Source organism: Homo sapiens, chromosome 1 (genome assembly GCF_000001405.40).
Source record: "Homo sapiens chromosome 1, GRCh38.p14 Primary Assembly".
Taxonomy (NCBI): domain Eukaryota; kingdom Metazoa; phylum Chordata; class Mammalia; order Primates; family Hominidae; genus Homo; species Homo sapiens.
Genome location: NC_000001.11, coordinates 1,365,392 through 1,381,505, shown reverse-complemented (window position 1 = coordinate 1,381,505; position 16,114 = coordinate 1,365,392). Strand labels below are relative to the sequence as shown.

At 55.4% G+C, this 16,114-nt stretch overlaps 1 protein-coding gene and 1 pseudogene across 3 annotated transcripts, besides 6 other annotated features; one reads left to right on the top strand and one right to left on the bottom strand.

Moving 5' to 3' along the window:
- NDUFB4P8 (NADH:ubiquinone oxidoreductase subunit B4 pseudogene 8) lies at nt 2,422-2,866 on the bottom strand (annotated as a pseudogene).
- Nucleotides 5,608-6,513: an enhancer, noted in NCBI's record as "NANOG-H3K27ac-H3K4me1 hESC enhancer chr1:1310373-1311278 (GRCh37/hg19 assembly coordinates)". NCBI's record gives its function as "activates a minimal SCP1, AML or CMV promoter by ChIP-STARR-seq in primed H9 embryonic stem cells {active_cell/tissue: H9 hESC(primed)}" and the evidence as "EXISTENCE:reporter gene assay evidence [ECO:0000049][PMID:30033119]".
- Nucleotides 6,299-7,770, top strand: AURKAIP1 (aurora kinase A interacting protein 1). Of its 3 annotated transcripts, none has more exons than NM_017900.3 (4): nt 6,299-6,352; nt 6,716-6,801; nt 7,061-7,506; nt 7,604-7,770. In NM_017900.3, the coding sequence occupies exons 2-4, from the start codon at nt 6,750-6,752 to the stop codon at nt 7,703-7,705; spliced, it is 600 nt and encodes a 199-aa protein (NP_060370.1). In that variant the 5' UTR covers nt 6,299-6,352; nt 6,716-6,749; the 3' UTR covers nt 7,706-7,770. The 3 variants fall into 3 exon arrangements, with proteins under 3 accessions (NP_060370.1, NP_001120702.1, NP_001120701.1); NM_001127230.2 differs by having other exon boundaries at nt 6,299-6,431; NM_001127229.2 differs by having other exon boundaries at nt 6,299-6,509.
- Nucleotides 6,309-6,488: a silencer, noted in NCBI's record as "silent region_68". NCBI's record gives its function as "represses an Ori minimal core promoter by ATAC-STARR-seq in GM12878 lymphoblastoid cells {active_cell/tissue: GM12878}" and the evidence as "EXISTENCE:reporter gene assay evidence [ECO:0000049][PMID:35858748]".
- Nucleotides 6,509-6,558: a silencer, noted in NCBI's record as "silent region_67". NCBI's record gives its function as "represses an Ori minimal core promoter by ATAC-STARR-seq in GM12878 lymphoblastoid cells {active_cell/tissue: GM12878}" and the evidence as "EXISTENCE:reporter gene assay evidence [ECO:0000049][PMID:35858748]".
- Nucleotides 8,801-9,568: an enhancer, noted in NCBI's record as "H3K27ac-H3K4me1 hESC enhancer chr1:1307318-1308085 (GRCh37/hg19 assembly coordinates)". NCBI's record gives its function as "activates a minimal SCP1, AML or CMV promoter by ChIP-STARR-seq in primed H9 embryonic stem cells {active_cell/tissue: H9 hESC(primed)}" and the evidence as "EXISTENCE:reporter gene assay evidence [ECO:0000049][PMID:30033119]".
- Nucleotides 9,143-9,437: a silencer, noted in NCBI's record as "tiled region #3626; HepG2 Repressive DNase matched - State 12:CtcfO". NCBI's record gives its function as "represses a minimal TATA promoter and a strong SV40 promoter by Sharpr-MPRA in HepG2 cells {active_cell/tissue: HepG2}" and the evidence as "EXISTENCE:reporter gene assay evidence [ECO:0000049][PMID:27701403]".
- Nucleotides 9,696-9,745: a silencer, noted in NCBI's record as "silent region_66". NCBI's record gives its function as "represses an Ori minimal core promoter by ATAC-STARR-seq in GM12878 lymphoblastoid cells {active_cell/tissue: GM12878}" and the evidence as "EXISTENCE:reporter gene assay evidence [ECO:0000049][PMID:35858748]".

Sequence of the window (16,114 nt, the reverse complement as noted above, 5' to 3'; positions counted from 1 at the left end):
GAGGCTTTCCAGAGCCCATTCTGCAGAAAACCAGATGGGGGGCCAAAGTGAGGGTCTGCCCCAGGTCCTTTGAGGGTCCACGCTAGCTGCAGGGCCCCACAGGCTCATTTCTGCCTAGGGACACAGCAAGGGGCATGGCGCCAGCTCCTGGCATGGGTGCCCTGGAGCTCTGGCAACTGGAGCCTGGTTCAGCATCCGGAAAGTGAGGGTCGCCAGCCACAAGGTGGGGGTGGGTTCGGCCTCTGCTCCGAAGTGGCTCAGGTCCCGGCCTCGATCCAAGAGCATTGACCTGAGGGTAGGGGTCCTTGCCCACCAGACCAGGGGCTCCCCCGTGCCACAGAAGCCATGGCTCTCCCCTGCCTGCAGCAAGGCCAGGCCCAGGGGTGACTCCAGCCCCAGGAGTACCTGCAGGAGGAATCCACATGGGGAGGCGTCTGGTGCGGTGGGTGGGTATCTCCCTGGCAGCCCCCAAGGTCGCCCTGGCACTTGGGGCGACTGCAGGTCTTGCCCCATATCTCGTCTTCCCAGGGGAGGCAGGCAGTGGGGTGCTGCCCAGCATCCACGAGGCCACCGTCCCCGCCTCCTTGAGATTTGCCCTCTGCGGGGACCAAAGGAAGGAGGAGCACGTGCCACTGTCATCCCGCGTACGCCCCGCTCCACCTCCTCAGGCCCAGCCCCTGGGGGCTGCTTCCATCCTGCCGGCACCTTCACGGCTCCACAGGCAGCTGCATGAACAGGGGGACTGGGCACAGGCAGGGCTGGGGCCCTGCATGGGGTGCACCCCAAGTTCCTCGCAGGGCAGGGCACCCACACAGAGCAGCTGCTGTGTCATGGAGCTGCTGGGCTGGCTTCGCTGGTGGTAGCCTGACTGGAGTGTCACAGCCCAGGGCACCCTGACCCTGAGAGGACACACCTGGCAGAGAGGCCATTTTGCCATCAGCAGGGGGTGCAGGCCCTACCACCTGGGACAGCTCACAGTGGTGCCCGTGCCCGGGCATCTAGAGCCAGATGCACTGCTCCTGTTCCCTTAGCCTTATGTGAGGGTGCCTGTCTCCTGGGAAGCCCTGTGCCTGGAGCACTGGTGAGCATTTTAATTAGCACCTCTGAAAAAAGGGTAGGCCTTCGTATTTCAACTTTTGGGGTGTAAATACTTCCTTGATGGCCAATTTATCTGAGACAGAGTCTCGCTCTGTTGCCCAGGCTGGACTGCAGTGGTGCGATTTTGGCTCACTGCAACCTCCACCTCCCAAGTTCAAGCAGTTCTCCTGCCTCAGCCTCCCAAGTAGCTGCGATTACAGGCGCCCGGCTAATTTTTGTATTTTTATTAGAGGTGGGGTTTCACCATGTTGGCCAGGCTGGTCTCGAACTCCTGATCTCAGGTGATCTGCCCGCCTTGGCCTCCCAGAGTGCTGGGATTACAGGCGTGAGCCACTCCACCCAGCCCAGCCAATTATATTTTGTTGTCTCTGTCACCCAGGCTGGAGTGCAGTGGTGTGATCTCATGTGCTCAAGCGATCCTCTCACCTCAGCCTCCCAAGTAGCCGAGACCACAAGCTCACGCCTCCATGCCTGGCTAATTTGTTTTTAAAATTTTTTTCTTTTTTTTTTTTTGAGACGGAGTCTCGCTCTGTCGCCCAGGCTGGAGTGCAGTGGCACAATCTCGGCTCACTGCAAGCTCCGTCTCCTGGGTTCACGCCATTCTCCTGCCTCAGCCTCCCGAGTAGCTGGGACTACAGGCGCCCGCCACCACGCCCGGCTAATTTTTTTGTGTATTTTTAGTAGAGACGGGGTTTCACCGTGTTAGTCAGGATGGTCTCGATCTCCTGACCTCGTGATCTACCCGCCTCTGCCTCCCAAAGTACTGGGATTATAGGCGTGAGCCACCGCGCCCGGCCTTCTTAATTTTTTGTAGAGATGGGGCCTCACTATGTTGCAGGCTGGTCTTCAACTCCTGGGCTCAAGTGATCCTCCCACCTCAGTCTCCTGAGTAGCTGGGACTACAGGTGTGAGTCACCACGCCCGGCTAATTTTTGTGTTTTTTGAAGAGACGGTCTCGCCATGTTGCCCAGGCTGGATATGGCCAATTTCAAGTACCAACAACTTCATTCCATGCAGTAGCCATTATACAGCTTTTCCTTCATCACTCACCGTGGCATGGCCTTGGCTCACTCTGCCTCCTGTGTTTAAGTGATCCTCCTGTCTCAGCCTCCTGAGCAGCTGGGATTACAGGCATGCGCCACCACGCCCGGCTAATTTTTGTATTTTGCGTAGAGACGGGGTTTCGCCATGTTGGCCAGGCTGGTCTCGAACTGACCTCAAGTGATCTGCCTGCCTTGGCCTCCCAAAGTGCCGGGATTACAGGCGTGAGTCACTGTACCCGGCCCACAATCCTTAAAAAACAACAACAACAACAAAAAAAAAATTGATAGACCGTTTATTTAAGCAAGAATACATGCAGTTGTCATTGCCAGATTTAATATGAGATGTTAAACGTTTGATCCAATTTTCCTTCTTGGATAAGTTTTTTGAAAACATAATACCAGAGGAAGAGGGTCCCCATTCCAAACATAGCTCCCAAGAGTGAGTTTTTAGGAGTGGGTCTAAAATTAGGGTAGACATTTGCTAATCTTGCACAGATCCGATGAATCAAGGCAGGATCTTGATGAGCCCTTGGCGGTTAGGGACGTCGTACTGAAGCAGGTGCTCCCATTTAGGCTGCGCTCTGAATGGCCAACAGCTGGGCTTGTGCCCTCCGGGTTTCTGGAGATATGTCCTGTTTGGCTGCGCTGAGGGCCGAGGGCAGAGGCCAGGTGCGACGGAGTATATACTTGGGGAGCGACATCTCGGCGACCCAGCACACACCTGCCTATGATGTTCAGTCATCTTAAGATCATTCTCCAGAGGCAGGAGAATCGCTTGAGACTGGGAAGTGGAGGTTGCAGTGAGCTGAGATCGCGCCATTGCACTCCAGCCTGGGTGACAGAGCGAGACTCCCTCTCAAAAAAAAAAAAAAAAAAAAAATGTCGGGCGTGGTGGCTCATGCCTGTAATCCTAGCACTTGGAAAGGCCGAGGCAGGTGGATTGCCTGAACTCAAGAGCTCGAGACCAGCCTGGGCAACACAGTGAAACCGTCTCTACTAAAATACAAAAAATTAGCCGGGTGTGGCGGCGTGCGCCTGTATTCCTAGCTACTCTGGAGGCTGAGGAAGGAGAATTGCTAGAACCCGGGAGGCAGAAGTTGCAGAAGTTACAGTGAGCCGAGATCACGGCACTCCAGGCTGGGTGACAGAGCAAGACGACTCTGTCTGTTTAAAAAAAAAAAAAGAAATAGAAACTTCAGAATTTTTAGGAATGTTGTATCTGTGGCCCGGAGGTTGGAGGAGCATTAAAGGCGGCGTGGCCGAGGGTGGACCCAGGCTGGAGCTCAGGCTCTGCCCTGAGCTGAGGAGCCCCAAAGTCTTGGGGCAAAAGCTGCAGACAGGCAGGGCCCTGATGCCTTGTCAGAGCCTGGCAGTAGCTTGTGGGAGCCAGTGTGGGCCAGGGTGCAGCGGGACCGCTAGCTGTTAAGCTTTCAGGAGTTTTGTACACCAACTGCTACACAGCCATTATTTATAAATCAGATACATTTATGGTTAAATTATGCTAATAAAAGGAAATACTGAAAACCCATAGTTTCATATTTTAATAAGATCACTATTATCCACGATCTTAAGATTATTTAAGTATTATAGGCAGATGTGCGCTGGGTCGCCAATATGTCTTTCCCCCAGTATACGCTGTCGCGTCTGGCCACTCTGCCCTCGACCCAGTCCTGAGGAGCTGGGACTACAGGTCTGTGCCACCATGCCCACCTTTTTTTTGAGTCAGAGTCTCGCTCTATCACTCAGGCTGGAGTGCATTGGCACGATCTCGGCTCACTGCAACCTCCACCTCACAGGTTCAAAAGATTCTCCTGCCTCAGCTTCCGGAGTAGCTGGGACTACAGGTGTGCACCACCACACCCAACTAATTTTTTTTTTTTTTTTGGTATTTTTGGTAGAGATGGGGTTTCGCCATGTTGGCCAGGCTGGTCTCGAACTCCTGACTTCAGACAGTATGCCCGCCTCGACCTCTCAGAGTGCTGGGATTACAGGCAGGTGTGAACCACTCTGCCCGACCAAAATTCTGAAGTTTCTAAAGAAAAACTTTCCTGAAGACAAATGGGTATTTTGGGGAAAACAGGTATGTGCAGCAACTGTGTACTTCCCTTGAGAGACTAGAGTTCCTTTGTTTAAAAATTAGGAATCATAACCCATGCACCCTCCCCGATTCTTCCACTGCATTTTTTCTTCCTCAGATGTTTGTAAAGGATTGATCTTCCTAGTCTAGTTCCAGCTCATCTAGCTTGGCAGCTCTGCTCACACAAGCATCTGGCGCTTCCAACAAGTGTTCCTGCCACTCCTGTGGGCGGCAGCCAGTCAGGTCTGGCCCGGGCATTCATCGGGGTGGCCACTGTCTGCAAGCCTCCCGGGCCGGCTCCATGCAGCTCCTGTAGCTGAATGATAATTCCCCAGCCTTGTAGCAGCTGGGTCCTGCTCTAGCTGGGACCTTTCCCTTTTGGCCTGGAGCCTATTGGGTACAGGGACCCCAACAGAGTGGTCTTCCTCACTTCACCTCCCTGAAATTACTTCCTGAGAGGGGGAAGGACACCCTGGTTCATCCTGCTCCTCAAGACTTTCTCAGACTGAAATGTCCACATCCCGTTTCTTCTACCAGTCCCTAACTCAGGGGAGGTACTTATATCTGCACGTCAATGCCTCAGAAGCCTGAAGGCCAAGGTTGCCAGCCCAGGTTATTTCTGGTTCTCTGGTTCTTCTCAACATGCTCACCTGTTCTCTGATGGATTCTTTGCATCTCCCTGGACCCCAGCCGGGTGAAGACAAACACAGGGGCACCAAGGTGAGGGCTGCTCTGGAGGCACCAGTCTGCTCATTTACGGCCAAATCCACTAGGGGAAGCTGTGCAGCAGGGGTGAAGGGCGGGCCCGCAAATAACGTTCGTAAACCTTCCTGCTTGGAGTCCCAAGTAGCCCCTCTGAGGGGTAACGTAGAGTCATCTGGGGACCTCAGTTGTAGAGGTGGGCCTGGAGCCTGAACTTTATGTCCTCACACTGGCCTATCCTACCTGTCACTCACTGCTTAGCCAGGCTGGGCCCGGCAGATGACCTGGCCTTTCCACTTCCTGCTAAGCGTCCCTGGAAGACCCTCCTGCAAGGCAAGTCTCCGAGCAGGCCCAGCAGGCTCTGCTCCACACCCCTCTCCCACCAGGCGCCCCTGCAAGTCCATGCTGGGGTCTCTATATTAGCCAACCTCACGGAGGTCAAAGGGGCCTGTCTGGAGTAGAAAGGTGAAGCTACACGTTGGCAGCGCCTACTCTGGGGAGCATCATTAGGGGCTCAGCCAAACCCAATCCACCAGAGAGGCTGCTTTTAGTTCTCAGACAAAAAGTGTGAGTCTGATTTTTATTTTATTTATTTATTTATTTTTTTGAGACAGGATCTATGTCACCCAGACTGGAGTGCAGTGGTGCGATCTCGGCTCACCGCAACCTCTGCCTCCTGGGCGCAAGCGATTCTCTTGCCTCAGCCTCCCGAGTAGCTGGGATTACAGGCGCCTGCCACCACGCTAGGCTAATTTTTGTAGTTTTAGTAGAGACGGGGTTTCACCATGTTGGCCATGCTGGTCTCGAACTCCTGACCTCAGGTGATCCACCAGCCTCGGCCTCCCAAAGTGCTGGGATTACAGGCCTGAGCCACCGCGCCCAGCCTGCGTCTTATTTTTTTTTTTTTAACCCCAGGAATGAGGAGTCGGGGAGGCCCGGTACCGCAGGCTCAGTGCTTATTCCGGGTCCTTGGTCTCTAGCAAAAACGGGGGAAATAGCTCTAGACGCTTCCGCCTTCCACGTAACTCCACTTCCGTTGCCAGATACGTCACTTCCGTAGTCTTGAGCCCGCACTTCCGTCGGCCCGTTGGGAATCCGGCCCCTGGGTGGTCCGGAAACGATTCTGGACCTGCGGGTATATCCAGGGCCCGCACCCCCTGGGATTGTGGGAAATGTAGTTTTTTGCCTCCGTAAGGGACCAGGCGGAGCTGAGGAACCGCGCGAGGACTGGGACCGTGATTCCACTAACCGGAAACCGTCGCCTTTCGGGCCCGGCGGGGCCTGAGCCAATGCAGAATCGGGGGCCGCGAGGACGCCAGCGGGCGCTGTGCGTAGGAACCGCCGGGTGGCCGCTGCCGATCGGGGCCGACTTGGGGACGGACCGGAAGTGCCCGAGGGCGGCCGCAGAACGGTCAATTTGAGCCGCGTCGAGGTCGGGCTTGGGAAGGGTCAGCGGGAGGCCTGAGGGCGCCGGGCGCTGCGGCAGGCGGGCCCGGGGTCCAGCCGAGAGGGTCCGGGCGCCAGGCAACGCGATTCGCGCGGGGGTGAACCCGGGGAGGGGGCCGGCCTCCCCGTTCTGGGACCTTTCGGTGCGTCCGAGCGCGACACCGCCCGCGTCGGGGGCTTGGGAGCCTCGGGGCGCGAGCTGTGTTGGAAGCAAAGTCCTCCTTGTGGGTTGGGGTGGCGGAGGGAGAAGGGAAGCGAGGGTCGCGGCGGGACCAGACGCCCCAGTCCCGGCCCGCCCGCGACTACTGAAGGCGCTGCCGCCTGACCTGAACGGGCACTTGTGTTCCAGCTCCCCTGGGACCTGTGGCCGCCGCCCACAGACCATGCTCCTGGGGCGCCTGACTTCCCAGCTGTTGAGGGCCGTTCCTTGGGCAGGTAGGAAGCCGCGCGGGGGCGGATGGGAGGATGCACACCTGGTTAGGAGTGCGGGTCTCAGCAGCTCCGCTGGGGCAGGGCCGGTGGCCACACACACACTCTTTCCCCTCTAAGCTTCCGATGCTCACAGAGGGAACCTCAGGGGTTCAGGCCAGGAATGAGGTGCGGGGGATCCTCGCTGGGACGAACCTGCTGCTCCTCAACCCGACGGGCCTGTGTGGTCTCGCGAGCGGTGACCGTGGCGTCTGGTTTTCTGCAGGCGGCCGCCCGCCTTGGCCCGTCTCTGGAGTGCTGGGCAGCCGGGTCTGCGGGCCCCTTTACAGCACATCGCCGGCCGGCCCAGGTAGGGCGGCCTCTCTCCCTCGCAAGGGGGCCCAGCTGGAGCTGGAGGAGATGCTGGTCCCCAGGAAGATGTCCGTCAGCCCCCTGGAGAGCTGGCTCACGGCCCGCTGCTTCCTGCCCAGACTGGATACCGGGACCGCAGGGACTGTGGCTCCACCGCAATCCTACCAGTGTCCGCCCAGCCAGATAGGGGAAGGGGCCGAGCAGGGGGATGAAGGCGTCGCGGATGCGCCTCAAATTCAGTGCAAAAACGTGCTGAAGATCCGCCGGCGGAAGATGAACCACCACAAGTACCGGAAGCTGGTGAAGAAGACGCGGTTCCTGCGGAGGAAGGTCCAGGAGGGACGCCTGAGACGCAAGCAGGTGAGTGGCCCCCTGCTTGGCCCTGGGAGGGCAAAGTGCTGAGAACACGTTTCTTTGCCACGAATTACTTGGCGGTCCCTCTCTCTGCGTCTTGCAGATCAAGTTCGAGAAAGACCTGAGGCGCATCTGGCTGAAGGCGGGGCTAAAGGAAGCCCCCGAAGGCTGGCAGACCCCCAAGATCTACCTGCGGGGCAAATGAGTCTGGCGCCGCCCTTCCCGCCCGTTGCTGCTGTGATCCGTAGTAATAAATTCTCAGAGGACTCAGCCTTTCCTGCGGGTCTGGAGCTCCATTTGCCGGGTGTGAGGTCTCTCAGGATTGAGGCTGCTGCCAGTCCCAGGTGTTGCAGAAGACCCGGGCAGCAGGGTGGCAGATTGGCCGTCCCTCTCTCTAGCTGGCTCTTGGCCGCCGTCCAGAGGGTGCTGGGCCTGTAGGAGCCCCAGCCTCGCTGTGAGCAAATGTGTGCTGTGTGCAGTTCAGGCTAGGTGCTGTGGGATCACTGTGAACAGATCCCACAGCCCCTCCCTGAGCACCACATTCCCTGGGGAGGCCGACCCGGATGGCAGAAGTACAGGGGGACAGGACTGGGGTTTAGGGAGCACCCGGAATGCACGGGGTGATTCAGGTGTATTTCATGAGTGGAGGGTCGGGGAGGGCCTCATTGGGAAGGCAGGAAAGGTTCTGGTACCACTGGCAGTGGTGGATGGTGCCCGCCAGGCTCCGTGGACGTGATCCTCCAGTGGCCCTCCAAGCTTTCCGGCTACAGGGCCAGGGTGTTGGCCTTCCCAGGCATGTCTGCCATCTCCTGGGGCCCTGAGTGGACGTGGGGACTAAGCAGGAAGAGTTGTCCCAGAAGGGGTTCGGGGCTGGGGGGTGGCTGAGGAAAGGGTCTCGTTTACAGGGCCGAAGAATCCCTGAGGCTTAGGTTGAGCCAGAGGCCCCTGGTGTCTCCACGTTCCTCTGGGTGAAGAGGAGGAACGCATTATTCCCCCCCCCTTTTTTTTTGAGGAAGAGTCTCATTCCATCACCCAGGCTGGAGTGCAGTGGTGCGATCTCAGCTCACTGCAGCCTCTCCCTCCCAGGTTCCAGTGACTCTCCTGCCTCAGCCTCCTGAATAGCTGGGATTACAGGTGCCCGCCACCAAGCCCGGCTAATTTTTGTATTTTTGTTAGAGACAGGGTTTCACCATGTTGGCCAGGATGGTCTCGATTTCCTGACCTCAAGTGATCTGCCCGCCTCAGCCTCCCAAAGTGCTGGGATTACAGGCGTGAGCCCCTGCGCCTGGCTGGAACATGGTATTCCTAAGAGCAGGGATGTGCAGGGGCCCTTGGACTTGGGTAGCAGGGCATGGGTGGGCACTGGGAAGCTGCTGCCCCCAACAGCTCAGCGACAGGAGAGGGGCCTTTGCGTCCGCCCCAGGCGGTTGAGTGGAGGCTCTGGAGCCGCAGCCTCTCCCCCACCGTGTGTGAAGGCTGAAGGCTGGGCTGCCTCTCACCAGAGACGTGGGGGCCTCTTGTCTTTTGTCACAGAAATGTGTCTGAGACTCAAGCTTGAGTTCCTTGCCCATCAGACCTTGGGGAGGACTTGAGCGCTATTCCCAGCAGTTTCTCTAGAACAGGACGAACTTGTGGGTCACACATTGTCCTGGGAGTTGGGCCCTGGACGTGCCAGCCAGCGAGGTCAGTAGGCCTTGGCTGTGGGTCCCTGAGTGCACGGAGGGGTCTGGAGGCTGTAGCGGGTGGAAGTGCGCTTCCCCAGACCACCACAGGGGGGCAGCAGCCGGGCTCCTGGGTCCAGGGCTGGGGACCAGGACAGGTGGCAGGAAGCGTCTTGTGGGGCCCCAGCTGGGGTCACAGGCATCATTCCTGGGTCTGTTTTCCCAGCTGTGAGTGGGGCAGGGCTCCCAGGGCCGAAACTCTCCCAGGTGAAGTGGAGCCCGCTCAGTGCCAAGCCTGGCCCTGCCCCAGCCTCCCGGTGCTCTTGGCCACCACTGGCACCCTCTGTAGTGCTGCTGCCCCCCCGCGTTTCCTTCCATCCCGGGCTCACCTCCCCCTTCCCTGTATGAGGGAGGAGATGTGGGAAGCTGAGTGGACCTGTCCAGAGTCCTAGCCTGCAGAGCTCAGCTGGGCAGCCCGTGGTGGGGAGCAGCCCTACCCAGCTCAGGCACAGCCCTGGGACCCCCCTTGGCCCCGGCCTCCTCCACCCCTGCGTGGGGGCCGGCTTGGGGTGCTCCTGGGAGGCAGGTCAACCATGGCTTTGAGCCGCATCTGGAGACATCTGTGGTTGTCAGTGGGAGGTGCTACTGGCATGGGTGGGTGGAGGCCAGGGATGCTGCCACACACCCTGCACCATGAGGACATCCCCACGACGAACCCATCAGCTCACGTCAGCAGCGGTGGGTACCCCTGCTCCAGACGTCACCATCCCGGCGAGGCGGTGCCTCAGCTGTCCACTCCAGCTCCCGCAACCCAGGCCCCTCCTGCAGACCCACATCCTGCCCAGCCTGCAGAGCTCACCCTGCCTTGGCTTGGAAGCCTTTGTTGCCCAACCACAACCTTGGGAAGCAATTTTGGGGTTTTATTTTTATCTCTGCGGTTGCTCCCAGGCCACAAGAGGCCGTCCCTCCCCTCTTCTCTGTGGGGCCTCCACCCTGCCCCTGCCTGTGAGACATGCACCCCCCTCTCTCTGTTGCCTCTCCCCTGTTCTGGCCCTGGGCATCACCTGGGTGAGGGGCCAGAGGTGGGGTGGGCTGGGCTGGGGGCCTGTGGAGCTGCCAGCGACCTGCCCCTCACCACAGCGTGTCCTGGTGGTGTTCAGAGCTCCAGTTCCAACCAGGACTTGGCTCTGCTGGGGATGGTCCTGGTCAGTGGGGATGGTGCCCCAACCTCACGCCCAGTGGTGGCATTCATCAGTGGCCTCCATAATGGGGCACGTTGGTGAACTCAGCCCCACGCCTCTTCCTCTGGCTGCTGCGTCCCTGGCAAGCTGGTGTCTTCTGCGCCTTCCGCGGGGGCCGAGCCTGGGGCCTGGGGCCTGACCAGCCGCAGAGCTATGGCTTCAGAGCTTTCATGGACCATGGGCAAGGCCCTCAGCTCCCACCCCCGGTGCCCACCCAGGGCCCTGCCTGCTTCAGATGTGTGTGTGTTGGGGGGCAGGGAGGCAGCACACGTGTGTGCCAAGCCCAGAACCTCCAGGGAGCCGAGCTGAGCACTCACTGAACACGCCGTCTGAGAAGCACGCAGGTTGGCGGTGGCAACAGAGACCCTCGGCGTGGAGTGGAGTCTGGGAGGAAAGCTGGCTTCCCTGGGCTGGACCCCCCGAGCCTCCCGGGAAGGGCACTGGGAGGGGGGAAAGAACATTCCTATTTCAGGCTGGAGGAGTCTGGGTCCTGTTTCTGAATGCCATGTTTCTCTCATTCTTAGGTTACTACTTTTTTTTTTTTTTTTTTGAGATGGAGTCTTTCTCTGTCGCCAGGCTGAAGTGCAGTGGTGCAATCTCGGCTCACTGCAGTCTCCACCTCCCAGGCTCAAGCGATTCTCCTGCCTCAGCCTCCTGAGCAGCTTGGACTACAAGTGTGTGCCACTGTGCCCAGCTAATGTTTGTATTTTTAGTAGAGATGGAGTTTCACCATGTTGGTTAGGCTGGTCTCGAACTCCTGACCTCGTGATCTGCCCGCCTCGGTCTCCCACAGTGCTGGGATTACAGGCGTGAGCCGCTGCGCCCGGCCCGATAAGTTCTTTAGAGGAGTTACTTCATTGCACCACTGATTAGAATTAGCCATTTCATACGCGCCGAGCCTAAGTACAGAGTTTAACTTGCCGGGAAGCCATGAGCCAGCCCTGAGTCTGTGTGATTCCTAAGCTTAATTGTAAAAGTAAATTATTTTTATAAAAGTTATGCTTGTGGGCCAGGCGCGGTGGCTGTCGCCTGTAATCCCAGAACTTTGGGAGGCGGAGGCGGGCGGATCACGAGGTCAGGACATCGAGACCATCCTGGCTAACATGGTGAAACCCCGTCTCTACTAAAAATACAAAAAATTAGCCAGGCATGGTCGCAGGCGCCTGTAGTCCCAGCTACTCGGGAGGCTGAGGCAGGAGAATGGCGTGAACCTGGAGGTGGAGCTTGCAGTGAGCTGAGATCATGCCACTGCACTCCAGCCTGGGCGACAGAGCAAGACTTCGTCTCAAAAAAAAAAAAAGTTATGCTTGTACGTGGCTAGTTTAATTGTTTAAGAAGTCACCAGCAGGCGCAGTGGCTCACGCCTGTCATCCCAGCACTTTGGGAGCTGGGAGCATCGCATGAAGCCAGGACTCCAAGAGCAGCCTGGGCAACATAGTGAAACCCTGTCTTTACAAAATAAAAAATCAGCTGGGCATGGTGGTGTGTACCTGTAGTCCCAGCTACTCCAGAGGCCGAGGTGACAGGATGCATGAACCCAGGAGTTCGAGGCTGCGGTGAGCTGCCGTTGTGCTAGTGCCCTCCAGCCTGGGTGACAGAGCGAGACCCTGTCTCCAAAAAGAAAAAAGATTCCTTTAAGAAAAACAGTTGGCTGGGTGCGGTGGCTCACGCCTGTAATCCCAGCACTTTGGGAGGCCGAGGTGGGTGGATCACCTGAGGTCAGGAGATCGAGACCATCCTGGACAACATGGTGAAACCCCATCTCTACTAAAAATACAAAAAACTAGCCAGGTGTGATGGGCGGCTGTAGTCCCAGCTACTCGGGAGGCTGAGGCATGAGAATGGCGTGAACCCGGGAGGTGGTGCTTGCAGTGAGCCGAGATCGCACCACTGCAGTCCAGCCTGAGGGATAGAGTGAGACTCCATCTCAAAAATAAAGGAAAACAGTATCTCTTCCCCCATCCCCACACCACCTTTCCCAGAGGCAATTTTAGTCCTTTTAAATGATTCTTGCGGTAGTACCATGTTTTAAAGTTGGTGACTTTCAGACCTTTTTTTTTTTTTTTTTGAGACAGTATCTCACTCTGTCCCGAGACTGGAGTGCGGTGGCGCGATTTCAGCTCACTGCAACCTCCACCTCCCAGGTTCAAGCAATTCTCCTGCCTCAGCCTCCCTGCTAGCTGGGACTACAGGCATGCACCACCACGCCCGGCTAATTTTTGTGTTTTTATTAGAGACAGGGTTTCACCATGTTGGCCAGGCTGGTCTCAAATGCCTGACCTCAGGTGATCTGCCCGCCTCGGCCTCCCAAAGTGCTGGGATTACAGGCGTGAGCCACCACGCCCAGCCAGACCTATTTTTATTTTTTAAGAGGCAGGGTCTCCCTCTGTCGCCCAGGCTGCAGTGCAGTGGTGCCATTATAGCTCACTGCAGCCTGTAACTCCTGGGCTCAAGCCAGCCTCCCAAGTAGCTGGGGCTACAGGCATACACCACCAGGCCCAGCTAATGTTTTTTTCCAGCAGAGATGGAGTCTCACTAAGTTGCCCAGCCTGGTCTCAAACTCCTGGCCTCAAATGATCCTCCTGCCTTGGCCTCCCAAAGTGTTGGGATTATAGGTGTGAGATACCACACCCAGCCTACTTTCAGACTTTTTTGATCAAGATACAAAATAAGAAATATCTTTTTACACCGCTATCTGATGAACACACCCACCATTGAAAGTTGTACAGAATAGTATCTCTCATAAGTACAATAAACTGAGATATTGCCTATTCTAGTCTTGCTGCACCTTCCTGCCTGTAATCCCGCACTTCAGGAGGCTGAAACAGGTGCATTACTTGAGCCTGGTAGGTCAAAGCCAGCCTAGGCAATGGAGCAAGACCCCATCTCTACAAAAAAAAAAAAAAAAAAAAAAAAAAAAAAAAAGCCAGGTGTGGTTGTGCCCACCTATGGTCCCAGCTACTCAGAAGGCTGAGGTAGGAGGATCACTTGAGCCTGGGAGGTTGACCTGCAGTGAGCCAAGATCGCACCACTGCACTCCAGCCTGGGCAACAGAGTGAGACTGTCTCAAAAATAAAAATGAAAAAGACCGGGCGTGGTGGCTCACGCCGGTAATCCTAGTACTTTGGGGCACAGAGGTGGGCGGATCATGAGGTCAGGAGATCGAGACCATCCTGCCTAACACGGTGAAACCCCATCTCTACCAAAAATACAAAAAATTAGCCAGGCGTGGTCGCAGGCGCCTGTAGTCCCAGCTACTCGGGAGGCTGAGGCAGGAGAATGGTGTGAACCCAGGAGGCGGAGCTTGCAGTGAGCCGAGATGGTGCCACTGCACTCCAGCCTGGGGGACAGAGTGAGACCCCGTCTCAAAAAATAAATAAAAAATAAGTTGCTCCTGATCCACTGAACTGAATTTACACTAATTCACACTCACCAGTTCACATTCACCAATTCATACGTGCCAATCCACACCCATCCACACTCATTCATACACTCACTCAACAATTCACACCTATCGACATTCACCAATTCACACTCATCCACACTACACACACCAGTTCAACTCACCAATTCACTCACCAATCCACACTCATTCACACTCGCCAATCCACACTCATTCATACACCAAGTCACACTCATCCACGCTCTAACAGTCACCAATTCACACTCATCCACTCATTCACACTACACACAATTCAACTCACCAATTCACTCAATTCACACATCCACAACCAATTCACACTCATCCACACAGTCACCAATTCACTCATCCACTCATTCGCACTACACACACCAATCCACACATTCACACTCACCAATTCACACATTCACTCTCACCAATTCACACATCCACACTCAACAGTCACCAATTCACACTCATCCACACATCCACACTCATCCACACTACACACACCAATTCAACTCACCAGTTCACTCACCAATCCACATTCACACACTCACCAATTCACACTCATCCACACTCGCCAATTCACACTCATCCACACTACACACACCAATTCAACTCACCAATTCACTCACCAATCCACACATTCACACTCACCAATTCACACATCCATACTCGCCAATTCACATTCATCCACACTCATCCACTACACACACCAATTCAACTCACCAATTCACTCACCAATCCACTCATTCACACAATTCAATTCACACCAACTCACCAATTCACTCACCAATTCACACTCACCAATTCACACCAACTCACCAATTCACACTCACCAATCCATTCAGACACCAATTCACACCCACGCTTTAACACAGTCACCAATTAACACTCATCCACACTACTTCACACCAATTCACTCAGTCACCTGTTTACTCTCATCCACACGCTTATTCACACTACACACACCAATTTACACTCACCAATTTAATTCACCCATCCACACATTCACACTCACCAATTAACACCCATCCACACTCATCCACACTTCACACCAATTCACTAATTCCCACTCATTTACACTCATTTCACACTCGTTCTCACACTAATTCATATTCCTTCACACCCATCCACACTCACCCACATTCACACTCACCAATCCTCACTAATCAATTCACTCACTCACCCTTTCACACCCATCCACACTAATCCACTCATTCACACATTCACACTCGCCCATTCACCCTAATTCACACTCATTCAATCACACTCATTCACATTTATTCACATTCACAGTCACCAATCCAGTCATTCACCCATTCACACCAATCCACTCATTCACACCCATTCACACATTCACACACCCATTTACACACACCAATCCACATTCGTTCACACTCATTCACGCACACCAATCCATTCACACTCATTTACATTCACACTCGCCCATTCACACATTCACACTCGCCCATTCACACTCATCAGTTCACACTCATCCACTCATTCATTCTCTCACCCATTCACATCCATCCACTCATCCACACCACTTCACACTCACCAATTCACTAATTTACACACCCGTTTACACTCATCCACACCACACAATTCACACCAATTCACAAATGCACAATCACCAGTTCACACCCATCCACACTCATTCACACACAGTCTCACGAATTCACACCCATCTGCACTACTTCACACTCACCAATTCACTAATTCACACTCAATTTATAGTCATCCTTTCACAATCATTCTCACGCTCATACTCGTCCTCCCCTCCCAGGCTCAGGCCATCCTGTCACAGCCTTTCCTAGCTGGGATCACAAGTGTGCACCACTACACCTGGCCTAATTTTTATTTTTATTTATTTTTTTTGAGACAAAGTCTTGCTTTGTCACCCAGGCTGGAGTGCAATGGTGCAATCTCAGCTCACTGCAACCTCTGCCTCCTGGGTTCAGGCGATTCTCCTGCCTCAGCCTCCAGAGTAGCTGGGACTTCAGGCGTGCACCATCATGCCCAGCTAATTTTTTTATTTTTATTTTTATTTATTTATTTATTTTTGAGAGGGAGTTTTGCTCTTGTTGCCCAGGCTGAATACAATGGCACGATCTCAGCTCATCGCAACCTCCGCCCCCTGGGTTCAAGTGATTCTCCTGCCTCAGCCTCCAGAGTAGCTGGGAGTTCAGGTGCCCACCACCATGCCCGGCTAATTTTGTATTTTTAGTAGAGCTGGGGTTTCTCCATGTTGGTCAGGCTGGTCTTGAACTCCCGACCTCAGGTCATCTGCCCACCTCAGCCTCCCA